This window comes from Homo sapiens, chromosome 1, assembly GCF_000001405.40.
Source record: "Homo sapiens chromosome 1, GRCh38.p14 Primary Assembly".
Taxonomy (NCBI): Eukaryota; Metazoa; Chordata; class Mammalia; order Primates; family Hominidae; genus Homo; species Homo sapiens.
The window spans coordinates 54,358,114-54,384,428 of NC_000001.11; the positions used below are offsets into that span (position 1 = coordinate 54,358,114).

Genomic DNA, 26,315 nt, shown 5'->3' on the forward strand with positions numbered 1-26,315 from the left:
TCCATTTTAACCCACCAGATGGGCAGGCTGCCACCAAGCTTATCTTCATTGGGCACTTAACTATGTGCCAGGCACTGCACATACAAAATGAAGACTAACACGCCTGCCTAACCTCAAGGAGTACCTCTTAACTGGCAACTCAATGCCATACTCTGACCGGGCTCCATTTCTACCTTGTGTGCAACAGACCCTCAGTATTTAGATACGGTGGACTCTTGGGGGCTTATCAGGTGTTCCCCTGAAGCTGAACCAGCCCACCCAGCTCAGGAGGCCAGGAGGGCAAGGGCAGAGTCTCAGGGCTTCTGTGCAAATCCCAGTGCCGGCTGACTGGATGACCAACTGGAAGCTTCGTGAGCAACTCCACAACTGCTAAACTACAGACCATTTCTCCAGGGTTGCAGCTCACACCTTGCTCCAGGGCTTCCAGCTGCTTGACAGGAGAAGGGGAGATGGCATAACCTCCATCCCCTGGGCCTCAGTATCCCCTGCTGGTAAAGTGAGGAGGATGCCCAGTCTGACCTCTGAAGACATCCGAACGAACAACACTGGGAGACCAGTACCATCCTAGCTGGACAGCGCTGTGGGGACGATGGATGCAAGAGAGGATTGCAAGTGGGGAGGGCATCCCAGCAGTGTGTCCCCACCTACGCTCTCAACGACACAGGGAAATTCCGCCCACAGCTCTGAATAATCAAAGAAATAACATTTAGGTAAGGTTGGGGATTAAGCTAAACCTCACTTAAGAGGCAGGGATGTTGGCATTTGGGAGCAGGAAACAGGCCTGGGAACGCAGTTAATACCTACCACAGAGCAAAGCGGATCACCGCCAGCTCCTGACTCAAGAGCGTCTTCCACCCGCCACACTTCTCCCTCTGCCAACTCCAGGCGCTTCAAAGGGGCCAGGCCAAAAAGTGGGGGTTGGAGGTCAGTTGTGGAAGTCACATTATCAGAAGAACATTGGCAAACCAGAAGCCAGGGAGATGCCTTCCAAAACAGAACAGAGGCTATTTTAAACGTAAACCCACTGGTGGAGGTGGGGAGAGTTTTATGGGAAGAACAGAGACATATATGAGTTGCTATAATTACCCTCCCCTCAAAAAAAAAAAAAAAAAAAAAAGCTGTCATAGGAAGAAGTCTTCCCAGTTGGTGATGGTAATACCTGGAACACAGATTATAGCTGCTCTGTCTAAAACAGAAATGGGCTACCCTGTCTGGTAGTGAGTTCCCCATCACTGAAGGTAAAGCAGAGGCTGCAGAAGAAACCAGGGCCAGGGAGACTCTCATAGTCAGAAGGGATTTTAGAGGTTATCGACTGATAAAATGCTAATGGGAAAATAACTCAAAGCCCTTCACGCTTTAAAACAGTCTTTCCTTTAAAAAAGCACCTAGGATTCCTACAGAGGACATGGAAAGGTTTTGCATGCCCTCACTGACCTACAGAGAGCTTTTTATAAACATAAGGTTTCCCTGGCATCCTTGGCCAGACTCCACCTACTCTTCTTCCCGGCTGTAGAGGTCACTGTGTTTTTGTGGCAAAAGCTGCAGGTGGTGACAGAAATGCTGGATAAGTAAGAAAAGCTGTTATGTAAAAACTCCAATGTTTAGGGCACTTCCGTGGAGCAAAGAATCAGAAAATACGTTTCAGAGAGCAGAAATGGAGCAGGTGAGCATTCATCATTTCAGGAGGGTGCGATGCCATCTTGGTACCCCACAGCAACACCACTGGCCTGACAGGCTGAGGATAAATGGGGACCACCGTGACCAGTTAACACTCACCTACCTTGAAGAAATGTTCAGATCATGGGTTGATAATCACCAAGGAGTCAAACCATGACCTCCCACCACTACTGGGTGTGTGACTCAACCGCCAACACCTTCAGAGTCTTGTTCACTTGCAAAATTCTTAGGACCTAGAACAGTACCTGACATATACCATGTGCTCAAAGAAATAAAAAGAATACATATTAAAAACAAATAAGCCAACCAAGTATCTTTTCTCTCGGTTTTGGAATCAATTACATAACTTCTCTTCCTCTGCTGATTCACCTATCTCCTTCAGTTCAACCCAAAAAACATTATACTAAAATTACTTTGCATTCCCTGAGTCCACAGAGGGACAAAAGAGCTGTCTAGAAGCTTAGGGAGGAAGAGGAAAGTTAGAGCACAGAAATATGGAAACCTCCACTTGAGCTCCCCGAAGATCAGAATGTTTGTCTTTTGTTCATTGCTTTATCATGTGTTCTAATACTGGCACACGATAGGCACTCAACAAATACCTAAAAGAATTAGCAAACAAATTCTCTGTCCAATCTTGGCAATCACTTCACTCTCTAAAACATCTCTTCTCAACTACAGAATAACAGCGCTGGAAGGGGCTCAGGGGTCCCCAGCCAGTTCTAATGTATCTGAAAGCCTGTGACCCAGGTAAACTGGCCTGGGAATGGCTTTGATCACAGAAAGCCTGCATGGGTCCCCCCAAGTGTTTCCACCAAAGAAACTAGGAGGCAGTGTGGTGCCATAAAAAAAAGAACCCAAATTTAAAGCCCAAAATGTTTAGGTAACAGCTTTGCTTAGGACACATGAACTTGGGGAAGTTACTGAACCTCCTCGAGTCTCAATTTCCTCACCTGCAAAATGGGGGACCATGCCCCAGGTCATAGCCTGGATTGTAAGATAATACATGTGGCCAGGCACAGTGGCTCACTCCTGTAATCCCAACATTTTGGGAGGCTGAGGCAGGAGGACCACTTGAGGCCGGGAGTTTGAGACCAGCCTGGACAACATAGTAAGACCTTGTCTCTACTTAAAAAAAAAAAAAAAAAATCTGCCAGATGTGGCAAGGGGTACATGCCTGTAGTCCCAGCTACGTTGGAGGCTGAGGTGGGAGGACTGCTTGAGCCCAGGAGGTTGAGGCTGCAGTGAGCTATGACTGTACCACTGCATTCCAGCCTGGGAAACAAAATGAGACCCTGTCTCAAAAAAAAGAACTAACTAAGATAATGCATGTAAAAGCAGTTTGCATAGAGAGTGAGCCTCCACAATCCCTCACTCACAGAGGGACCTACTTCATTTCCAGCTCTAAACCTTACAATTACTTCTACCCTAGAAGGGAGATGCTAATTCAGGACAAAGGATAATCAAGACCAGTTCACAAGATAACGTTTTATGAAAATTCACATCCTGTAACCTGGCCTGTGCTAACTATAAAGAGGTAAATTTTCATAAAACCTAATTCATCTAGAGTTTTTTGCTCCCTTCTCAGGAAATTAAACAGATAGAGGTTTAAAGCAGAAATGGGGAAACGTGGAAAACCGAACAACCCTAAAAAGAAAAGAGCCCTTCCGAAGCTGCAGATGAACCCCACACGCACTCCCGCTGAGTGTGGGATAAGCAGAGAAACACTGCCCCCAATAGAGCAAGGCCCTCCCAGGCTGAACGGAATTCACAGAGCCTCTTGGATAACTCTGGTCCTGAGCAGGGGGCCTCAGAGAGGAGGTGCGGAACCTGTTCTCGCAGAACGTGGGATATCCCCTTGCGCTCCCCAAAGCCCGGCAGCGAGCTGAACAAGCAAGGCCACCATCAGTGGTATCTATCAACAGAGCATCTACAAGCAGCAGACAGATGTGACAACCAAAATCAAGACAAGTGGCCTTTCCAGACATGCCAGATACACTCAACCTCCCCACCACCACGATGATACTACTGGTCAATGTGGATTCTCATTTAATGGCAAAAGCCCTAATTTTTAACTGTCCCTGACTGGGAGGTGTTGTCATCGTCCTTCCGCCATGGGTTCAGTTCTCCCTTCCTCACTGAAAGAGGGTGCAACCACAGAAAGCTCTCCCAGAAAGAGACTGGAGGCGTAATTTTAAAAGTTCAGGAAGGAGAGGTATTAAAGACCTGGCAAAGATTTCTTGGGTGGTTTAAGGCAAAATTCAGAATTTGTATCTTTTCATTCCCAGCCTGCCATCTTAATTATCTTCATGCCCATCTTTACCATCATGGTAAGGACAAGCGTAGGAGACCACAAATAAACACACCCACACAAACATCTCAGCAAGAAAGATCTCTCCCTTTTCTCAGTATTCATTCATCTCCTCATGCTAGACCCAGAGCTCCCAAGAGCGAGCTCAGTAACCCTGCCAGCAGTGGACCATCCTGGCAGCAAGCAGCTGCTCAACTAAGAGCAAATCTCCACATGCCCAATATGTGGCATCAGCCAGCATCCTTTGAGACAGAGCAGTCCCCAGGGTCTCTCTCTCCACAAACCATCCTCTCTTCCCCAAGAAAGGGCCTGGCAAAGAGTGAAGGGCCCCCAGGGGTTGCTTTGTGGAAAGACTGACTTAGTGAGCAAATGGGATCAGAGGTACCCAGGTCAAATCCTCTTTATGGCCACAGATAGTCTACTTGGTGAGTAAGGACCCAGAAGGCGGAAGCCTCTACCCGACCTGGGCTCCTCCGGGCAGCCCCTACATAGGCGCAAGATATTAGACCAGGAAGGAACACTCAGTGGTATATCCCCCACCCTATAAGCTCCCGGCCTTGAAAGCATCTGAAAATAGCAGGCCCCCAAATCTAACCTTTTTCTTAGACCAGGCAGATGGTTTTATTCATGTAAGTTCTAGTTTACCTTCTTAAGCTGTCTAAACATTTGTCTGAGCATCTGAGCCACACGCTAGACTGCCCTGGGGATTAGTCCTGCTTTCAGTGGTGGGCTGTTGTTGTTGTTTTACCCCTCGTTTTCTCTCCCAGATAACGGCGAGGACAGGCATTTATAAGAGCTGGGTGCTGCCCAGGAGTTGCAATCTGACTGGATGGAGGCCTGGGAGATGAACTGTCTCACGGGGGGCGGGGCAGAGGGATACTTAGACACTGTTGTCTTACTAAGACTCCATATTTACACAGGGAGTCTTGGAAAGAGGGTGCAGTCCTCCCAGCCTCCATCAGTGTGGATAGAATGCTGTCTAGAGGTCATTCCTGGGATGAAAGGCACCAGGCATTAAGAAGCCCACTCTAGCACAGCCCCTGAACAGCTGGATACTGTTTGCTGAGTCACATCTCAGTTTCCAAGGGAAAATGACAGACACTGCTCATCACAGCCACATGAACTTTCAATCCAGAACTGCAAACCTCCTAACCACACAGTGCCTTGTTTCACCAATCTGGGAAATGGGGACAAGGGTACCCTCTCCCTACCAGCCATCTCAAAAGGGAAGACCCACACAGCTCTCAGCAATGGTGTGAATCATGAGTATTTCTTCACCTGGAGAAAAAGTACTTAGCACAATTCAAAAGTATTTAGCACAATTCAAAATTATGACAGATGACTATGCTACCAAATCAGCAATCTGATGCCACATCGGACAGTTATAAATTAGACAAGTCAACAAATTTACCCTTCATTTATACTCTACGCCCCTTACTCTCACACCAACCACAATCTTCTCTGGCCCTCAAAGAAATAGACTGAAAAATAAGTTATATGGGAGGGAGAACAACACTATTACCCCTGAAACCACCCCCTGCACCATCATTTTTTTAATGTAAAAATAAAAGTCCCCCAAAAACAAAACAAAACAAAAAACCAAATTTTAAAAAGCAACCATTGTTTATTTTCTTTCCACCATAAAGGTATACTGCAGAAGAAATGTATAGGGAAAGGTATATTGTTTTGTGGTAGAGACTTTCCTTAATCGGACTTAAAATAGGATTTACCAAATCTTACAACTCTTCAGGAACAGGGTGATTTGCATAGAGCTAGGCACACCTGGCTCCCTAGAGAGGCCTGGACAGGCCACCTCCCCAGCAACCAGAGGGGAAACAAAGGGGGCAGACCAGATTCATGGCAAGGCCAGGCCTCAGGAGGGTTCAGGTGTTGGTCCCTAATTCAAAGAAGAACTTCTTCCTTTACAGACTAGCCTAGTGTATGAGAAGACATCATGGCAGCCAAAGAGAACACTCTAGAGCTTAGGTTGGCAAACCAGTAAGGCCCAAGGGCCTTACTTATACCACCTGTATTTGTAAATAAAGTTTTATTGGGACACAACCACACCCATTCATTTCTGTCCTGTCTATGGCTGATTTCTATGCTACAATGGCAGAGCTGAGTAGTTGCAAGAGAGACTGCACAACCCACAAAGCCTGAAATATTTACTCTCTGGTCCTTTATAGAAAAAGTTGGCCAAACCCTACTCTAGTGTCAAGTACATTCCATCACAAAGGCTGCCGTAATAGACAGGTTCCAAAGAATAAAGACAGCTAGTTCAGCACCTCTACTTTGTAAATGCTTACTGAGACCCAGAGAAGGGGAGATGACCTGCCAGAGCCAGTCTGCTAGAAGGACTGAGGTCCCACCTGCCTCCCAACCTAGCACTCTGTTTAACAAAGAGGAAGGGGTGAGGCTTCTCAAAACAAAACACCAGCAGCAGGGGAAAATATAAATAGAATATCAAGTCCCACAAATAAACATTAATGCTTGGCTCAAGCTTAACATGAGAAATGTGAAAAATGGGGAGGGGAAGAAGAGCACATGGGATGGTCTAAGCAAACTAATATCCCAAGGGCAGCCTATCTTCAGCCCTTTCTAAATACCCATTCCACACACCCAAAAGCACGTGTGCTAATGATCAATCCTGCCTCTCTCCCTGCCCAGACTATGGCCACTCCTCCTCTCAGCAATGATGGTGAACTTGGCAGTATCGAACCCAAACAGCCTTTCTCTCCCCATTACCTGCAACGTCAGCTTTTCTGCTTCTCACACAACTCTGCCCGTGAATAGTCCAAACTAGCGGGGTTTGTGCTACATTTTAACATTTCAATAATTAAGACCTCTCCCAAAAGGAATGCCCAGCACTTCCCCCAAAACAGCTGTGGAAAATCAGGCTGAGAGGGAAATGCAGATGGAGAGGCCCCAGGCCTGCACAGAGGGGCAGGAGGGAGGGAAGAGGGGCTGAGAAGGAGGGTCAGCAACAAGACAAAGGCGCCGAAGAGCTTTTTTTGCACCCGCACCAGGAAAACACCAGACAATGTGAATGGTGCATGGAGATGAAGCAACATCCCAAAGTTAAAATTAATTAGCTGCCGTATTGACAGAGGCTCCATTGTGCCATGCGGTGAAGCAATCTAAGAGCGAGGGCATCACACACAATGTCGAAAGGCCCTTGGCAGCCACAGGTACGACAGGGTGAGGACATGCTCTATCGTGTCACCAACCTGGTTCCCTGAAGAAAGGTGTGCGTGTGTGTGTGTGTGTTGGAAGGCTAGTGGTTAAGAAGTGTCAGTGTTAAGACTTTCTTAAATTAATTTCAAAAATGCAGTAACCAAAACATTGACAGTAATACTCTACTATTTGAGAGCCTAAGTGAAAGGCAACAAGTGGGGCGCAGAAAAGCACGAAGCTGCCTATGAGCTACTAAGTGGCCTGAGCAGGTTAGGAGCTGGCACGATGTGAGGGAAGGCACATGCCCTCCCACTCAAGTCACAGAACTGGGTGGGCGTGGCCCAACCATCAGATATTGGTGATCCTAGGTACTCCCTTGTCTGCCGCAGTCACCCTACCCAGCTCCGTCATGAACGGCCATACCCCCTCACCTGGAAAGCCTGCCTTCTCCCTGGATCTGCCAACAGCTTCTGCACACCCTGCACCTTGCTCACACTGGTTCCTGTGCTTCTCTGGCCCACTTCTTTCCTTGAAATCTGGTGGGCTGCACAACCTAACTGTTAAGAGCACTGACTCTAGAAGAACTAGTTTGCCTATGCTCAAATCCTGTCTCAGCCACTTACTAGCTGTATAAACTTGGGCAGGTTCCTTAACCTCTCTCTGCCTAAGTTTACTCATCTGGGAAACTAATCGCAGTTCTGACCTCACGGAGTTACTGATATGGGCTAAATTAGTTTACACAGACCACTCAGAACACTGCCTGGCACAAAGGCAGGGCTGAATTAGTATCATTAAGGTCCCCACCCCTCCTTGGAGGGTACTTTTTCCAGAAAGTCTTCCTTAATTCCCTCTGTGAGTTAACTGCTCCCCAGTGGAGCCTGGAGCTCCAGCTGCTGCTAACACCCCTCTGATGGCATTTATAGCTTATCTTTACTCATGCCTATTTTCATCATTGTTGCCCACACGACTCTGAAGGCAGAGTACTAACTATACCCATTCCTGCAGCATGGAGGCGGAGTCCCCAGTCCCTTTCCTGAGTACCTGGTACAGTATATTTGCACCATATACTGGGCCATTACATAGTTACCTCTCAACAGTCCTAAGATACTCTAGGACTATCACCCCAAGTATACAGATGAGGAATGTGATGCTTGATCTCTCTAGGATAAGCAACTTACCCAAAGTTACAGACTAGTATGCTGCTATTAAATTCTGGTTTGCTGAAATTAAAGTAAACTAGGGGCCTTCATTCAGAACTGAAATGGCTTTCAGGGCTGAATCAAGACAGGTATCAATTCATGTGAACACACAGAAAAAGGTCTAGAAGGACATCCTCCAACTAGTTATACCTGGTACCAGGATGCACAGGAGGACAGTGAAGGGCAGGGAGTTTTGCTTCACTTCTTATTTTATATACCTCTATATTTTAGCAATTTTTAACAAAAGAAGTACTTAGGTATTACTTGAATAATTAAAAATAAATGGCTTAGTATAAAGAATCATGTTAAACTTACCTCCTACAAAAGACTTTGAAACCATTCTGATTGAATTCTAATAAAACTTTAGAAGCGTTCAATCTTCCTGGACCGAAAGCTTGGTAAGAAGTGGCTTTGGATTCAGACAAACCTGGCTTCCAGTCTCAGTACTTCCCCCTCCCATTTACAACTGAGTGACACTGTTCATGGCACTAAGCCTCTCAGAGCCTCCGAATCCCTCGTGCTGGAAAGGGAACTGTGCTATTATTTACCCTGCGGGTTCTCATGGGGATCACCTGAAGTAGCATGCAAAGATCTGATACAGTGCCACGCATACCAGAGGCCAGAAGTAGGGCTGCCTCTTTCCTTTGCTGCTGGAGTCTGAGCTGGTTTTTAAGGGTTAATCCTAGTCTACCTCCATAAGCCAGTTCTTTTCCAAAATGATCTACTTGGGCAAAAGATAGGTGCGGGGGAGAATGCCACCAATCGCTCTTGCCCATAAACCCCCGCCCTGATACTCACCTTCTGAGAATACCAGCCATCGTTTTGGAGTCAGGCATGATCCAGGCAATAAAAGCAGAGACAGAAACCTTCTTGCGAACAAGGTCCCTGATGCCCCATTGTCTCTGTAGTCCAATCTGTGCCTCTCATGCAAGGTTTCAGGGACGTAAAAAGCATTCAGACAAATGGGTCTCCACTACTGAGCTCTTACACAGGGAAAAGCATCTGAATCTGTCAATTAATATGTATTAAGTCCCTACAGGGCCCACTGCTCAAGCAGTGTTGGAAGAATGAGTGGAGAAAGGACGAGGGGCAGAGTCCCAGCACTCTGGTGCCAGACTAGCCAGATAAGGCAGCACGGCAAGCTACATGAGGTCCTTCTCTGATGTCCCAGAGACTGGTTACCTGGGCCAAAGGCTGCCTCTGCGGCGGGTCCCCACCTTTGCTAGGAGCAACACTAGGAAGTAAAACTCAAATCACTCTTAAGCAATGTGCTGGCAATTCTGATGGATTTTTGTTTCTAAAGTGTGCTCTGTGTACCACTGGACCAACAACTTTACACATAAGAATACCATTGTGTTTATGTGCACAAACATTTAGCCATAAGGATGTTCATCACATTACTATTTACATTATGAGAAAGCTGAAAAGAATCTTAATGCAAAAGAATTCTTAACTGGAAAACTGGAAACAAGCAATAGTAAGGAACTGGTGAATTATGCCACATCCAAGAAGCATAACATATACTCATTTAAAAAGATAGAAAACCTAGGCCGGGCACAGTGGCTCACACCTGTAATCCCAACACTTTGGGAGACCCAGGAGGGTGGAACACTTGAGGTCAGGAGTTCGAGACCAGCCTGGCCAACATGGTGAAACCCTGTCTCTACTAAAAATACAAAAGTTAGCCATGGTGGTGCGCACCTGTAGTCCCAGCTACTCAGGAGGCTGAGGCAGAAAAATGGCATGAACCCGGGAGGCGGAGCTTGCAGTGAGCCAAGATCACGCCACTGCACTCCAGCAGAACGAGACTCCATCTCAAAAAAAAAAAAAAAAAAAAGAAAACCTTAATGACATGGAGGGACCCATGGGAGCCCTTCACCTAACATCAAAATAGGTGCTTAATGAAGAAAAACAGGGGCTCTCAAGGACAGAGATGCTATGCTGCAGCCAGGGAGAAGGGACTTGTTCGTGGATTGCCAACTGGACCCATAGTTCCCCACATTTAGGGAAAAAAAAAAAATCAGAAACCAACTCACAACTCATTACCTGCCTGAAGCATTTCTGAAACCATTTTAGGATTATTTAACCAGATAAGGTCTTGCAATAAACAGGTGTGAGAATTACTGTCTTTTTTTAAATCCATCTACTCCACTTCTGAGATCTGCAATGCACCCTAGTACACTAGAAACTCTGAGAAGCCCTACACTAAAGAAGCTGCTTCACTCTTTCCACTCCCCACAAAGAGCTGGCTATAGACCCTTTATTGAAATGTGCCTGAACATCTCACTGAAGAGCTGGGAAAGCTGATAGACTAAAAAGCACCCTGGATATGGCAGGGAGGCCTGGGGGCCCCCGTGGCTCTCACTTACTAGGGAATCTTCAGGCAAGTCGTCTCTCTATTCTAGACACAACTTCTCCAACTGGGAGCTGACTAAATCAGAGGTACCTAGATCTGTGCTCTCTTCAAAGGTAAAACCCTTGGGGGCATGAGGGGAGGTGTAAAGGTGGGAAACCCAGTGAGCAGAATTCACAGCACCACACTCCCCTAAAACAAGTAGATGGCTCCATTTTTGTTTTATTATTTGCACTTCCACGTAAGACTTCATTTAAAGAAAAGCTCTTTCTGCTAAAACGAAAAAAAGTAAGTCAGAAACCACTGAAACCTATGTCCTGTGTGGTCCTTCCAAACTGCGACCGTTGATTTTCTTTAAATCTGCATTGCACATGGGAAAAAGTCCTCTTGAGTCGGGGGGGGGGCCCAAGCCAGGCTCCCTGGGAAAGGCGAGGGTTTGAGGTGAACTTATTCCCGCAGAGGCTCCACGGGATTGGGGGGACGGGGGTGGGGGGGCACAAACTGGGAGGCCTGCCTATGCAGGAAGGCAGGGAGCTAGGGTGACCATTGCTGGGGGAGATGAGAGGGACTGTGCAGCTAGGTGGATGGATAAAAAGGCATCTTGAAAACCAAGGTCAAGAATATCCACGTGGAGGCTGACAGCAAGAAATCGGCTAATGTTTGAAGAGTTATGTGATCAAAAAAAAAGAGAACCACTAGTTAGGTGACCGTGGCAGACGGTTTCTGTGTCTCCACGTGAAGGAAAGACTGGAGGTGAAGAAGTCCTGCAGTCGTCTGTTCTTGTGGTCTGGCTATACAAGGGCAGATGCAAAATTCAAGGTTCAACTTGAATGAGAACTTCAAACTCAACCTCCACCTCAAACCTGGTGTACGAAGACGCTCAGAACAGAATCAGATACTCAGACTCACCAACCAGTCTGAGGACGCTCAGAACAGAATCAGATACTCAGACTCACCAACCAGTCTGAGAACGTGACCCTGTCCCTTTGGTTGAGATGGGATTCCCAAGATTAGTACCCTCGACGGTATCCTGGGCACAACATTGCTCCATTTTTTTTTACCCTGCTGCCTCTCTCGGGATCCCCATGTCCCATGAAGCTTTGTGTGATATGAAAAACCATCCTTGCAACATCCCAAGAGAAATCAAAATGTGGAGTAGAACTCAAGATGCCTGGAAGAGAAGTTTTCCTCCTCTAAGCTTCCTTCAACTGGGAGGGTTCCATCATGTCTCCACAATTAGCTTGTCCCAACCCTCCGTCCTCTTCAGGGTCACCACCTGGCACTCCAATGCAAGCAAACCTTCTTCAGTCAATCACCATGCACCTCCCTAAGATCCTCCAGGGCCTTCCTGGAAGCTGGTGGCTGGCTGTCAAGCAGGTACAGGGCTTCCAAATGGAATTCATTTACCGTCTGCATCCAACTTTCACTTATCTGGAAATCCAAACGACCAGGAAACAACATCACTGGCCAACTTCCAGCCTGGTCTGTGACTCCGATGACAACAAACTCACCTTGCATGGCGATGCTATTCGATTGATAATGGCTGACTAGAAGGCTGTGTTCTGAAAATAATTCTGAACCCGGGTTGGCAGAAAAAGAGTTACCGTGATCAACTTGCAATGTCTGACACGAGCAAGGGAGGAATGCCGGAGTATGTGCCAAGCATTTACCATCTGTCCTGTGCACCATCACTAGCCTTCAGATTGGATTTTTACTCTTTGCTTCATCATATACTGGACACGTGACTTTAGAAAGTCACTAAAGCCACCTGCGTTTTTATCAACAAAACGGGGTAATAAGCCTTGTCTGTCACTGCCCCAGGACTGCTAGAGGGTGCCAATGAGCTCACATACAGGAGATTGTTCTACAAAGTGTCCAGTGCAGGGGATTATTATATGTAAGGGATTACAGTTCTTCTCCACAAGAGTGGCCCTCAGGCACTACATGTTCCTGAAGAGGCTTCCAAATCAACAAAGAATGAGCATGCGTGTGGTGGCTGTGAGTGGTGGCAGCCCTCAGCATGGCTCAGCTCAATTTTAGACTTGGGAACGGTTCCCCCGTCATACAAGATCAAGGGATCCCAGTGTCTTTGGTGTTCTTCCTGATGTTCTTAGCACTGTGCCGTAAGCACACATGGTCCTGAGACCCAAATGCTGTAATACCCCAGGGCTCAGTGATTGAAAAGACAGGGCCAACCCCCTCTCCAGTGGCGGCTGGATGGGAGAGGAGCAACAAGACTGCTGCCAGAAGACCACCCAAGGGGGGGTATGCTGAAGGGCCACGAGAAAGGTCTCCAAACACCCCAAAGCTACAGACACTTGTTCCACTGCATTATTTTCATAGCCATATCAGGTCGCCCTGCAGGCAAACACTATTCTCAGATAGGAGCTGCATGTTCTCACAAGACTAAGTTGCTCAGAGTTAAGATTAGGTTTAGAGCGCATTAACTCCAGCACCGAGGAACACTCCATTGTGGACTGAGTAGACACTACCATGAGCTCAAGCGCCCAAGTGGAAGAAAGCGTGTGTGGATGCCATGTGTGCATGAACATGTCACACCTTACATGATGACTTGCTTCAGAAGGCTGGCTCTGGGGAAGGCTTGGGCGATTTTAAGCCTTGTTTGCCAACACATAGGGAGTGCCTGCTGGGGCCTTCCTCTACTGTGACACGGGCACAGGAATGGGAGAGAGACACACCCAGTTTGGTGTTTCAGTGTGTCTGCAATGATGGTGCCTCTGGATGCACTCTCCACCCCCAAGCTACCGCCTCTTCTAAAGTGAGGCTAAAATCACCCATAGGACTGATGAGAGGACCATCAGTTAACAATCATCAATATCGAGAGAGAAGACACAATAATAAAAATGACAACTGCGTACAGGGACTGTGCATGTGCCGGTGCTGCACTGGGCACCGTGCCCACGTTTTATCTAATCCTGCCAAAGCTGACAGGCTCCTGGCCTCAAAAACGAAGACAGTCGGGCAGGGGTGGGGGAGTGGCTACCTTAAGATTAAACACCTTTCTACCCTGCAACCACCACCTGGTACAGGAACCGAGGGAAGGGCCTCCCACAACATGAGGCACTCTCTGAGCACATCTCATACAGCCAACTCCACCCGAGAACCTCATCCTTTCACGGACATGGGTTATACTCACTTTACAGATAAGGAAACTGAGTTGGAAGGGACTCACCAACTCTCCCAAACCACTAGTTAATGAGTATCTCCAACAACCAGACCTGGGTTCCTGTCAGGCAAGGCAGGCTAGGCATGTGCCTGGTCTCCCGAGCCTGACTCTAAAGGTTTCCAGACTGAGTCCCACATGCCGTGTAAGCCCTGACAAATTACTTCCCTTCTCTGTGGCTCAGTTCTCCAACTGCAAAATGGGGTAATACCTGCCTTGCAGGGTTGGTCTGGAGGATTAAACTACCTCATGTTGAAAGCACTGAGAACAGGGGCTGGCACAGACTGAGAGCCCAATAAATGTCAGGCACTATCAGTGTTCACTGGCCATAATCCTCCAAGACAAAGATCTGCACCTGCCTGGAATGCCCCTTCCCCTCCACTTTCTTTCTCACTCCTTGAGGCCCAGCAGCAACACCCCCTCCAGGAAGCCTTCCCAGCCCCTAAAGCAGCCAGCGACTCCCCTCTCTGGGCTCCCTTCAAACTCTGCCTGTGTTCCCCATGAGCACTGACCACCACCTACCTTGTCAATTAGTCTGTCTGCCGTTCCAGACAACAATCAACACAATCCTGGCTCAAGTCTGCATCCCCCTAGTGCCATACCTGTGGCAGGATCTAGGCTACACTCAATAAATGGTGACCACGTGACTGGAAACCCACCCACTGCAGGTTTCCGACGCTCTTCCACCCACAATCCTTTCCTGAGGGCTCAGGAGCATCAGGCATGGGGCTGAGCACTGCACACCTGTATTGCTAGTGTATACCTGTACCCTGTCCCCTCTTTTATGAATGGATAAACTGAGGCCCCAGGGGCCAGGCAATTAACCCAGGGCCACACAGCTGGAGAACGGTAGGGCCAGGACAAGGGCAAAGCCTCCCTGACTCCAGCAGACCCTATGCCTAGTCCTCCTCTTTTTCTACAATCTTCTTCCTTTTCTATTCTTTTGTTGGGAGGCAGGGGGAGATGTTTTTGTAAAAAATGCAATGTCTTTATATAATTTCCCCATGGCTGGGAATGATGAAGAGCAAACCAACGGGCTGTGCACGCGTGACTCTGTGTGCCTGGGCCCTCTTCCTGGTGTCACCCGCATAACCTCCTGGCACAGACACTCAGCTGCCACCTGACAGCATTGCTTCACCTTCTTCCCTCTTCCCCTCCAGGGCCCCCAGAACCAACAGGGGAAGTTGGTTGCTAATGGCAACAGTCTTGGGAGCAAGGTGAGACCTACCAGCCCACCACTGACGGCTGAAGGGAAATTTTCAACAGCCTCTGGGGCCCCTTTCTGTCAATCAAGCGGCCTCTTCCCTGTCTGGGACTCGGTTTCCTCTTCTATAAAAAGCGAGTGCCACCCTTCATGATTCTAGTTACAGAGTTGAGAAGGGTTACACGAATCCAGCCAATCTGGGCCTCTGGGGCTGCCCTGGATGGATTTAGAAGGGTCAGCAAAGAGTTGTTTTGAAAAAAACAGCAACAGGCTGGGCGCAGTGGCTCACATCTGTAACCCCAACATTTTGGGAAGCTGAGGCGGGTGGATTGCTTGAGACCAGGAGTTCAAGACCAGACTAGACAACATGGTGAAACCCCATCTCTATAAAAAAAAATACAAAAATTAGCCATATGTGGCGGCGCATGCCTGTAGTCCCAGCTACTTGGGAGGCTGATGGGGGAGGATTGCTTGAGCCCGGGAGGTGGAAGCTGCAGGGAGCCGAGATTGCACCACTGCACTCCAGCCTGGGTGACAGAGTAAGACCCTGTTTCAAGAAAAAAAAAAAAAAAAACAGGAATGCCTCTCGGCACACCAGCTCAGAATTGCCCCCAACTCCCTACTCACACCCAGGGGCTGCTTGAGGAAAGTGTCTGAGCTGAGTGCCCTGGGCTGACCGTGGGAGACATGAGTTGTTTCCCATGGTGTGCACGTCTGGACCACCAGAGCTGCGGTCAGTGTGAAGTTCATCCCGTTATCCCCACTAGACTCTTTCCTGCTGGACAGGAAAGGCAGGTTATTACAGAGGCTTCTCCAGAGCCGTGCACAAGGACATCATGGGAAGAGGTGACTAAAGGGCTCAAAGAGCCCAATGGGCACTGGCTGGAAGCCTGTCTTTGAGAATGGCAAAGTAGCCCAGGGCAGCTTTCTTAGGAGAAGTTAGGGCTTACACTGAGCCTTGGAAGGCAGGCTGGGCAGGTAAGACGCAGGTGCGCGGGAATGTGTGCGGAGGCAGGTGGCCGGCAGCCCACGGCGTGTTGGGGATCCAGAGACTGGGTAGCCAGGAGGCCTGCAGCCTGCAGCCCTGGTTCCTGCCGCTACTCACAAGGAGCACAGGCTCCGGGAAGACGACTCTGAGCAAACATCCCAGGTCATCCCACACCACCTTTGTCATTAATCTCTTCAGTAAGCCCCAAAAGGGCATCACACTTTCTTGAGGCCCTGCTGGCCCTGCTCCTTCCCATCTAAAAGTTCTTGACCTGTCCAAGCCTTTCCAGGAGAACTGACACCAAACACCTCACATTCTCCAGGATGAAATTTGTTCACAAACCACCCTCAACTATCCTATAATGGATGCTTACATTATCCCCATTTCACAGAAGCCAAGGTGAAGAAGCAAGTCAATCAGTGAAGCCTGTTCAGGTGGAACAAGCTGTCCCCATCCCTTTCTCCCTCCATCCCCCACCCCACCTGGCAGGGGACAGAATGCAAAGCAAATCCATGCTAACCACACACAACCCTGACCCCAAGAACCCAGACAGAGTGTAAAATGCAGACCCCACCTAATCCAACGTGAGATATCAGGGCTATCAACGTGAGCTAACTGACTTCCAGAGCATGAACTTGCTTAAAAACATTCTTTAGTTTTCATTTCATGAAAAGGTCATACAGCCGAAGCACAAGCACCACTCAGGTGGGCAGGAGGCCAGGGGCCAGAGAGGGGGAGGGGACGAGAGCATCCCGTGGGAAGATGCACAACACCCCACCCCGTCACTGTGGGAGTCTTGGCTCCCAATCTGTAACCTTATCCTGGGGCAAGCCAAAAAAGGCAGTAGAGGAGGCTGGGCCAGGATATGCCCCTGGCCCTGCACATGCTACCCGTCTTCTCCACTAGCTGTCCACAGGGCCTGCTTCTGTCTCTGTGTCCCCAGGTGTTGGGCAGGACCCCGTGGTCAGAGCCTGGAGGGCTCCGCAGCACAACAGCCATCATCAGACAGCCTGACAGTGCTGAAAAGTCACCACCATGGGACTGACAGGGAAACTAAGGATCAGATAGAAAAGCCCACACGTGGATGACAAACCACCTAGGGGAATTTATTCATTCCTACTTGGGGGGGATCACACTGCATGCATGCATGCATGCATGCATTCAATTTATTTATTTAGCAAAGATGTGTGGTGGACCAGCCAGACTGGGGTCTGCCAGAGGACTCTGCTCTGAGCTCTTTCCCACAGGCCAGTCCACAGGCACCTCCACCTCATCCACATTCTGAGGCCTGCTTGAAGCTGCTACAGTATACTCCTGCTGCCAGCCACTTTCACACCAGCAGCTGACTGTGACTCCAGTGCTTCTTCAAGAGTGTCAAGTTGTGGGCCCAGGAGACAGGATCCAGAAAAACCATTCATGAGAGGCGCCCCCAGCCAGTCCCCCTCCAGAAGCCTCCAGTCGCCTGGTGGAAAGGATGGTGAGGGGCGAGCACCTCAGAGTTCACATAGAAGCCATCTATGTAAAGTAACAGCCTTTAAAGGGTGACCCACAGCCAGAGCCTTCCTCTGGACTGGACTTTATCTTGACGCTACAGGCGGCTGCGGTGGCCCTGCCTGCCACAGGGCCCTGGCGGTGGCAAACCCTGCCTGCAGGGAAGCAAAGGCAAGGCCAGCCCAGTGCCATCCGCTGCCCAGGGGGGCCACAAGGTGGTGCTGACCAGGCTCTGGGAGGAAAGGGAGGGGAAGGAGGAGAGCAGGGAAGAGGAAGGAGAGGGATAAGTAGGAGAGGTAGAGGGATACAGGGCAGGGAGGGAGGGGGAGGAAAGAGCCTTTGTGCTGGCTTCCCCCACTCCACAGTACCCAGGAGCAACAATCAGTTATGCAAACAGGGACCCCTCCCCCAAGCCCAGCCATCCACTCCTGGACCCCCTCCTCCTCCCTTAGTCTCTGGTCTCCCCTCCACCCTGTTCACTCGTGTGCGTGCATGCGTGGGTGTGTGTGTGTGTGTGTTTGTCTCACACACCTCTAAGAGGTATAGTGGCCCTGAGGCCTTGCCCATTCAGGAAAAAACCTGCCCCCACCCTACCCCTTTCCTCAAGTTCTTTAGTCCACACAATTCCACTTTTAGGCATGTTACCACTGCCAACACTGCCAGCCTCTAAACCCACTACCCATTTCTTGCTTTGGCCACCAGCAATGGTGAGTCAAGGAATGGTGCTCCCAACCTGAAGACGCAGCCCTTACAGCTCCACCAAGTAACAAGACACGCTGCCTGCTCTGACTTCATTTTGCTAATTCTCTCAATGAAATGCAATAATGTGAAGGAAAAACTCGTCTTTGGGGCAGGGCCTTCAACATATGGTCAGCCTGGACTCCTTCAAACCACACAGATTAAAATCTCAGCCAGGTGACAACTTCTAGGAGGGGGGCTTTCACCCTCCTTTTCTTCTTCATGAGATAGACTTTTGATTGTTTCAGTTTCAAATTACATCAAACATCTAAATTGGGAATCCCAGCTCCTCCACCACCAGCGCATCAAAGGTAGATATTCAAAGCAGTACTTATTTACAAACGGCGATGCAAATCTGTCCCGACAACCTGGGCACCCTTGACAGACACTTCTGCCACTGCCCATCCCAGGAGTTTCTGTCCCAACTGAGGCCTAGGGGTGTGGCTACCATCTGTCACCCTGTGACCAAGTCATGACCATGACAATGATGACTCACACACAAAGAGCCTGGCCCCTCTGTTACAAGTCCAGGTAAGTTTTTACCAGCTTTGAAATAAAAAGCATTAAATGACAAAGCTTTTCTACAGAATGAGAGAGAGGTAAGGCCCTCTCTCACCTCCAGGACACACAGTCCTCAGTCAAGGGCATTTAAAACATTCCACTCCGGAAATGCCAGAGGGCTGGCAAAGACACTACGGTTAAAGGCAAGCAATCAATAAATGGGGTGAGGGTGCCACAGGCCTCATCGCCATTACTGAAAGCATACCCCTTTCCCCTGGAATGGTTTCCCCACTCCAAAACCCAAAACTGAAACCCACGGTGCTCCTCCCTTTCCCCACAAGGTCTGCCTCCAGGCCCTGCCTGATAAGCCCTCAAGGTTACTCCGTAAACCCGAAGGGCAGGAGTGCTCCAACAGCCCAACCTCAGTGTGCTGAGTGCTGAGTGTATACAGGCCACTGGGCACACACACTGAATCCTGAGAAGTGAGCTCTAGGCATTGTTGTCTGCTTCTTCTAGATGAGGATACTGAGGTTGCAGAAAAGAGCAGGGTCACACAGGTGGCTTGAGGTAGGACGCCAGCAGCCAGGCTCTTAACACTCAGGAAGGGTGGTGCCTCCCTACCCATCCCCCCAGCATCATAGCAGGGATCTCAGATCTGCTGGAGCATTTCCAGCGACAGACACCTATAAGACACATTTTTACAAAGCCACTGTTTAAATGTTCTAATGGATTCCTGTGGCTTGGGACAAAATTCCCAGAGGAAGCATCATACACAAAGCTGAAAAATAATATATGTCAAACAACTTGGAGTGTTGGTGATACGTCCTAGAAAGGTGGGTTAGAAGATAAAAACTGGCTTTGATGACAGCATTTAAGACACTGATAACAAAAACGCATATGAAGACCTAGAATAAAATATATCATGTAAATTTAGGGTGGAACATAGTATCTCTAAATTTACATGTTATCTGCTATATTATTTTAAACATGTATGGGTAAATAAATTAGATATTTTAAGTAAGGAAAAATACTTCCAGCAATAATGAAGCCGTGCCGATTCACCACAATTCTGCTCGGCCTCAACACAGCACAAATCCACACCAAGTCTACGGAACCTCTACAGGCCCCGGTCCCCTGCACTCTCCTGACGTGCAGGCCACACAACCCCAAAAAGCAGATGCCCTCGGACCTCTGGCCATCAGCTTAGAAACAAGGTGCCAGAGTTCCCATTTTTATAACAAATGAACTGAATCCAGCCCAACTTTCCCATATTCTCATCAACTTTCTTTCATGGATAGATTTTCCCCAACTTACAGTTTTTCCTTCTGATTTTTGTTTAACCCCCTAGTTATCGCTAATCCTTGCTTAAAGAGGATTAAGACAATCATGTAACAAATATGGGTGCTTCGCTACCCAGAGGTGTGGGTGGGGCTCTGTTACAGTTTGCGCGTCCATATTTCTGGGCCACTGCACAAAGAACTCCAAACCACTCAGAGCAGGACAAAGAGGGGCTGTGGTGGAGAACCCAGGGCCCTTTACCAGGGAAAGGGGTGTAAGGCCAGGTCTCCTGGCCTCAGCCACAGCCCCCAATCCCTCTGGCTGGGGCAGCAACACCCCCTCCAAAGCTGCTCCCTCGGAAGGGACTGCCAACAGTCAACGCCAAACTTCAAAATTAACTGCCACCATTGGGGGCTGGGACGGCGGTTTGGTTCCTTTTAGTCCAAGGCGCTGACAGCCAGGCCTGCCCCTACTAGCTCCTTCTGTTGTTTCGAGGGGAGTGAGGCCCGGGGCTGAGTTAAGTTTCACTGGTGAGTGGCCGGCGGGCACAAAGGAAGGAACCGCTGGGGGAGGGGAGGCCGCAGAGCTGGAGGGCTGGGACAAAGGGGACAAGAGACAAAGGGACAGGAAAAGAGAGCCCGCTTTATCCTCCTCCGAGGAAGGAACTCCCCATTTAGTCAAATATTTCACTCACACAGCTCTGGGCAAGAAATGCCCCACCGAACATTTTCCGAGGTGGCTTCAGGTGTCTCCCACACCCTCCCCACCCAGGCCAGACACAAGACGCTGGCTCTCCTGGCCCCGCCACCGCCTGGCCAGGTCCCCGCCCCAACCCACTTGTTCATAGTCAGCCAGGTTGCTTTTGATGGCTTCCTCCCTCCAGCCCCGATCTGCCACCCTGAAGAGAGACAAAGAATTATTTATTTGGAGAAAAGAAAAACCCTCAAAGTGTCAGCCAGTAACAGACATGACACTTGCTACGCAGGAGCGACATGCGGGTTTTCTAGTCTGCAGGAGGGCCTTCGCCAGCAGCACACCTCGGCCACCCTGGGTGCCCTCAGATGCTGTGAAGCCCTACCTGTGTGGCCTTTTTCTGTTTTCTCTTTCCTTAAAACCACTGCATACCACACCTGGAGGTTGTGAGAATTAACCTGTAATGAAGGTGAGTGGCCAGCACCAGGACGGGGACGTCTGCAATAAACATGGCAAAATCTGAAAAGCAGGTGAGGTCGACCAGGCTCCCAGGCTCCCAGGCTGAGACAACAGAACCCTCAGGGCTGTCTTCACTGAGACGCTTGATTTGTTTTGTTTTGATTTTGGTTGGAATTTGATTTGAGGGAGACATGATCCCACCACATTTTACATGAACAAAGCAAATCTGACATCCACGCCCAGGACCAAGCCAAGAAAGAGGCGGTACAATGGTGCGGCCAGGAGGCTGGCTGGCTGTCACCATCGGCAGGGACAGTAGGAGAAAGCCAAGAGCCACAGTGACCCTTCCACAGACCACAGTCCTCCCTACTGCCACCCACTCCTTGCCCGAGCCAAAGTCCTGCTTTCTCTGGACATCACTCCATTCGCCCAAATACCTAGGCCCCTACCATGTGCCAGGCAAAGCACAAGGCGGTATCGTCCCTGCCCTTCCTGCAAGAACACGGCGCATCAAGTCCTTCCCACCCGCCGTTCTAAAACACGAGGCTTTCACTCTGTGCCTCACACTGGGAGCGCACTCATTTTTTGGGGCTGGGAAAGGGGCACTCCTGGTCTCACAGTGGGGACAATGGGGCTGGAGGAGGGCCTCTGTTAGCGGAAAGAGCCTGTACACCCAGGGGTGAGAGGGCTCTCTGGTCAGAGAGGAAAATGGAATGTGGCCAATCTCGCCAGGGAAAGGCTGCTCCAGGCTCCTCCCTCTCCTAGGGTCTGGGCTGGGCGCCCAAGTTGGTGGCGGCCTCGGCTCCCACACCAGGTCATGGGCAGACCCTCCCCGCAGAGCAGCGGACGCCACTGTTCCAGGGGGATTGACTCGCTCTGTGGTCTGGACAGGCTAAGTCACACACCCCCTCCTTTTTCCTTCCCCTCCCCATGGTTCCTCCTCACCCCCATGCCCAAATGCTTGAGTCTTGATTACACCCTGGACAGTACCCCAGCACCTGACCTGCCAAATAATTAGACCCAGAAGCAGGCCACAATCGGCTTTGGATCAGAACCAGTGTCTCTGCTGCGTGCAGTGACAGCTTCTGTCCTCGTGGAAAGAACGCCGTGCCGACACATGCTCCGAGTTAAAAACATTTTCAAAAAGAAAACGGGAGGGGGAAAGAAGCCATCTGTATCTCAAGTCTGCAAGACAGCTCTGGCCAGGGCCAGCTTCGGCTTCCTGAGAAGCTACGGCCCATCGTGGTCCCAGCCCAGGACCCCGGCTCTCACCTACGGAGGGGTATTCCAGACAAACTCGCTGACTCACCGGAAAAGGTGGCATTGTGGCTGACACCTGTGCCTCAGAGGTGACCACAGCCTGGTTGTAATGCCCCACCCCCAACCATGGGGTTGGGGGTGTTGGTAAAGCCTAGAAGAATTAAGTCAAGTCTGACAGAGTGTGGGCACCTGAAAGCTTCCTTAAAGCCAGTATATTAGGCAGGGCATGATGGCTCACACCTGTAATCCTAGCACTTTGGGAGGCTGAAGCGGGACAACTGCTTAAGGCCGGAAGTTTGAGACCAGCCGGGAAAAACACAGCAAGACCCCCTCTACAAAAAAAAAAAATCTGACAATTAGCTGGGCATGGTGGTACAAGCCTGTAATTCCAGCTACTCAGAGGCTGAAGCAGGAGGAGTTTGAGGCTGCACTCCAGCCTGGGTGACAAGGTAAGACCCCAATACTTTTAAAAAAGAGAGAGAGGCTGGAAGTGGTGACTCACGCCTGTAATCCCAGCACTCTGGGAGGCCGAGGCTGGTGGATCATGAGGTCAGGTGAGGAAGACCATCCTGGCCAACATGGTGAAATTCCGTCTCTACTAAAAATACAAAAATTAGCCGGGCGTGGTGGCGTGCGCCTGCAGTCCCAGCTACTCAGGAGGCTGAGGCAAGACAATCACTTAAACTCGGGAGGCAGAGGTTGCAGTGAGCTGATATCGTGACACTGTACTCCAGCCTGGGCGACAGAGTGATACACCATCTCAAAAAAAAAAAAAAAAAAAAAAAAAGAGAGAGAGAGCATGTCAGTAGAGTCTTCATTCTTTTAGTTTATGTCCTTGTAGATTTGTGTTTCCAATAACCAATTTTTAACACATTTTTGCTAGAATAACAGCCTTATAAGGACATTTTTGTTTCAGCTACATCTCCAGTTTGTGCTCTCACCAAGGTGATCACCACTTTCTCCAAACTCTCACCCCCACCTCGGTGGGGCACCTTGCCGAGGCCCTCAAATGACTTGGCTCAACCAAGTCCACACCCACCCACGCTGGGACCACAAAGGTATCATTTACCACCACTTTACAGAGGAGGAAGCAAAACTCAGGTGAGTCCAAGCAACAAGTCCAAAAATGACAGAGCTGGCCAGCGCAGTGAGACAGGGTGCTGGGGCAAGCCCAGGGAAGGGTGACCCCACAATCCCCTGAGGGGATGCTGGGAAGCATTCCTGTGCCTTCCTAGGGGACAAGTCAGCTGGAACCAACAGGATATATCTTATATTTTAAGATGTGCAGTTAGGCTGGGCATGGTGGCTCATGCCTGCAATCCAAGCACTTTGGGAGGCCGAGGTGGGTGGATCATCTGAAGTCAGGAGTTCGAGATCAGCCTGGCCAACATGGTGAAACCCCATCGCTACTAAAAATACAAAAATTAGCTGAGCATGGTGGCAGGCACCTGTAATCCCAGCTTCTCTGGAGGCTTAGGAAGGAAAATTGCTTGAACCCAGGAGGCAGAGGCTGCAGTGAGCCGAGACTGTGCCACTGCACTCCAGCCTGGGCAATAGAGCGAGACTCTGTCTCAAAAAATAAATAAGTAAAAAATACAGATGTGCAGTAAGCATTTTATTTTTATTTCTTATTTTTTACAGACAGGGTCTCACTATGTTGCCCAGGCTGGTCTTGAACTCCTAGGCTCAAGCGATCCTCCCACCTTGGCCTCCCAAAGTGCTAGAATTACAGATGTTACCCACTGCACCCAGCCAGTTAGCATTTTGAAAACACATAACCCCAGATAAAGGGGAGGAAAATAGTCTATGAGGTCTGTGAGGGCAAAAGATTTGCTGGTGTCTTTGCTTCCGTAGCCAAACGGCAGAGGCATCAAATATTTGATGAATGGAAGACTAGACAGATTAGATGAATATCTGATAAAGACAAATATCTTTGATGACCTATGGGTGGATTTTTGGATAAAATATCTTCCTAAACTGATACTATTAGGACAATTTTAGCAGAAAGTAGTTGTTTAAAGGCAGTAAGCATTTCAGGCCCTTGGAAAAGCCTGGATGGCAGGCTTAGAAATAAAGAAGTCCCAGCCAGGCACAGTGGCTCATGCCTATAATCCCAGCACTTTAGGAGACTGAGGCAGGTGGATCACCTGAAGTCGGGAGTTCGAGACCAGCCTGACCAACTTGGAGAAACCCCTTATCTACTAAAAATACAAAATTAGCTGGGCATGGTGGCGCCTGCCTGCAATCCCAGCTACCCAGGAGGCTAAGGCAGGAGAATCACTTGAACCCAGGAGGCGGAGGCTGCGGTGAGCCGAGATCGTGCCATTGCACTCCAGCCTGGGCAACAAGAGCGAAACTCCATGACAAAAAAAAAAAAAAAAGAAGAGAGAGAGAGAAAGAAAGAAAGAAAAGAAAGAAAGAAAGAGAAGGAAGGAAGGAAAGAAAGAAAAGAAAGAAAAGAAAGAAGCCCCAGCTGGGCACAGTGGCTCATGCCTGTAATCCCAGCACTTTGGGAGGCCGAGGTGGGCGGATTGTCTGAGCTCAGGAGTTTGAGACCGGCCTGGGCAACACAGTAAAACCCCATCTCTATTAGAATACAAAAAAAAAATTAGCCGGGCGTGGTGGCGTGAGCCTGTAGTCCCAGCTACTCGGGAGGCTGAGGCAGGAGAATTTCTTGAACCCGGCAGGCGGAGGTTGTAGTGAGCCAAGATCGCACCACTGCACTCCAGCCTGGGTGACAGAGCGAGACTCCGTCTCTAAAAGGAAAAAAAAAAAGAAAGAAAAAAGAAATAAAGAAGTCCCTGTACTACAGTGTGGCTAGACCCTCCCTGAAGAACAGATAAGAGCCATTCACAATTAGAAGCAACCCTGCACACAGAGACCACAGCTCCAAGCCCTAAGCCACCCACACTGGAATCTTGTTTATCCTTGGCTAAGCAAACACAAGTCTTCTTAGATAATGCAAAGGTCAACTGTAGACTTGTATGACCTGATAAAATCGCCACCAACCCTGAATTACAGGGTGTTCAATAATAAAATATTTCTACAGAGCTATGAGGGAGAGAGAGAAATCAGAAGTGGGCTATTTTCCATCATCCTCCATTAACACCCCACTAAGACACAGGCTGAGTGATGGAGTTCTGGATTCCAGGATCACATCCCTGTCCACCCACTCCCCAGCCCCCTTTATAAAAAGCAAGAACCGGCCGGGCACGGTGGCTCACGCCTGTAATCCCAGCACTTTGGGAGGCCGAGGCGGGCGGATCACGAGGTCAGGAGATCGAGACCATCCCAGCTAACACAGCAAAACCCCATCTCTACTAAAAGTACAAAAAATTAGCCGGGCATGGTGGCAGGCGCCTGTAGTCCCAGCTACTTGGGAGGCTGAGGCAGGAGAATGGCATGAACCCAGGAGGCGGAGCTTGCAGTGAGCAGAGATCGTGCCACTGCACTCCAGCCTGGGCAACAGTGCAAGACTCCATCTCAAAAAAAAAAAAAAAAAAAAGCAAGAACTGGGCAGGAGAACAGTCACGGGGCTTCTAGCCCGAGAGGCCTCAGAAGTTGTCAAAAGGCTGGGTTAACTGAACAGAGAGCATTTTCCCACACACCTCTGAGGACACTTCACATCTGAAGCTCCATCGATGTGTCAAAGACCTACTTCAGAAAAGAAAGGCAAACACCAAGGCCAGGGCTCGAACTGAGCAGACGAACTTGGACTTGTTCTAAGGGCGTTAAGACTTCAGGGAACCATTCAAATGCACAGACTGCACAGAGGGGCCCTGGGAGGTGGGCAGCCTCCTGATCCTCC

The 26,315-nt window shown here is 49.3% G+C and overlaps 1 protein-coding gene across 16 annotated transcripts in view, besides 10 other annotated features; it reads right to left on the bottom strand.

Annotated features, from left to right (window-relative positions):
- SSBP3 (single stranded DNA binding protein 3) overlaps positions 1-26,315 on the bottom strand; it is a 188,059-nt gene that overhangs the window by 132,682 nt on the left and 29,062 nt on the right. For 3 of the 16 annotated variants that reach the window (XM_047416695.1, XM_047416693.1, XM_047416692.1), the window contains exon 1: positions 805-1,094. The exons of the other annotated variants lie outside the window; for them this stretch is intronic. The gene's annotated coding sequence lies outside the window, so the exon portion shown is untranslated. Of the gene's footprint in view, positions 1-804; positions 1,095-26,315 lie in introns of those variants that run through there. 16 annotated transcript variants of the gene reach the window in all.
- Positions 15,147-15,696: an enhancer, noted in NCBI's record as "H3K27ac-H3K4me1 hESC enhancer chr1:54838933-54839482 (GRCh37/hg19 assembly coordinates)". NCBI's record gives its function as "activates a minimal SCP1, AML or CMV promoter by ChIP-STARR-seq in naive H9 embryonic stem cells {active_cell/tissue: H9 hESC(naive)}" and the evidence as "EXISTENCE:reporter gene assay evidence [ECO:0000049][PMID:30033119]".
- Positions 17,897-18,446: an enhancer, noted in NCBI's record as "H3K27ac-H3K4me1 hESC enhancer chr1:54841683-54842232 (GRCh37/hg19 assembly coordinates)". NCBI's record gives its function as "activates a minimal SCP1, AML or CMV promoter by ChIP-STARR-seq in primed H9 embryonic stem cells {active_cell/tissue: H9 hESC(primed)}" and the evidence as "EXISTENCE:reporter gene assay evidence [ECO:0000049][PMID:30033119]".
- Positions 18,125-18,184: an enhancer, noted in NCBI's record as "active region_1059". NCBI's record gives its function as "activates an Ori minimal core promoter by ATAC-STARR-seq in GM12878 lymphoblastoid cells {active_cell/tissue: GM12878}" and the evidence as "EXISTENCE:reporter gene assay evidence [ECO:0000049][PMID:35858748]".
- Positions 18,275-18,374: an enhancer, noted in NCBI's record as "active region_1060". NCBI's record gives its function as "activates an Ori minimal core promoter by ATAC-STARR-seq in GM12878 lymphoblastoid cells {active_cell/tissue: GM12878}" and the evidence as "EXISTENCE:reporter gene assay evidence [ECO:0000049][PMID:35858748]".
- Positions 18,575-18,704: an enhancer, noted in NCBI's record as "active region_1061". NCBI's record gives its function as "activates an Ori minimal core promoter by ATAC-STARR-seq in GM12878 lymphoblastoid cells {active_cell/tissue: GM12878}" and the evidence as "EXISTENCE:reporter gene assay evidence [ECO:0000049][PMID:35858748]".
- Positions 18,715-18,784: an enhancer, noted in NCBI's record as "active region_1062". NCBI's record gives its function as "activates an Ori minimal core promoter by ATAC-STARR-seq in GM12878 lymphoblastoid cells {active_cell/tissue: GM12878}" and the evidence as "EXISTENCE:reporter gene assay evidence [ECO:0000049][PMID:35858748]".
- Positions 18,998-19,547: an enhancer, noted in NCBI's record as "H3K27ac-H3K4me1 hESC enhancer chr1:54842784-54843333 (GRCh37/hg19 assembly coordinates)". NCBI's record gives its function as "activates a minimal SCP1, AML or CMV promoter by ChIP-STARR-seq in naive H9 embryonic stem cells {active_cell/tissue: H9 hESC(naive)}" and the evidence as "EXISTENCE:reporter gene assay evidence [ECO:0000049][PMID:30033119]".
- Positions 20,099-20,647: an enhancer, noted in NCBI's record as "H3K27ac-H3K4me1 hESC enhancer chr1:54843885-54844433 (GRCh37/hg19 assembly coordinates)". NCBI's record gives its function as "activates a minimal SCP1, AML or CMV promoter by ChIP-STARR-seq in primed H9 embryonic stem cells {active_cell/tissue: H9 hESC(primed)}" and the evidence as "EXISTENCE:reporter gene assay evidence [ECO:0000049][PMID:30033119]".
- Positions 20,648-21,198: an enhancer, noted in NCBI's record as "H3K27ac-H3K4me1 hESC enhancer chr1:54844434-54844984 (GRCh37/hg19 assembly coordinates)". NCBI's record gives its function as "activates a minimal SCP1, AML or CMV promoter by ChIP-STARR-seq in primed H9 embryonic stem cells {active_cell/tissue: H9 hESC(primed)}" and the evidence as "EXISTENCE:reporter gene assay evidence [ECO:0000049][PMID:30033119]".
- Positions 23,383-23,482: an enhancer, noted in NCBI's record as "active region_1063". NCBI's record gives its function as "activates an Ori minimal core promoter by ATAC-STARR-seq in GM12878 lymphoblastoid cells {active_cell/tissue: GM12878}" and the evidence as "EXISTENCE:reporter gene assay evidence [ECO:0000049][PMID:35858748]".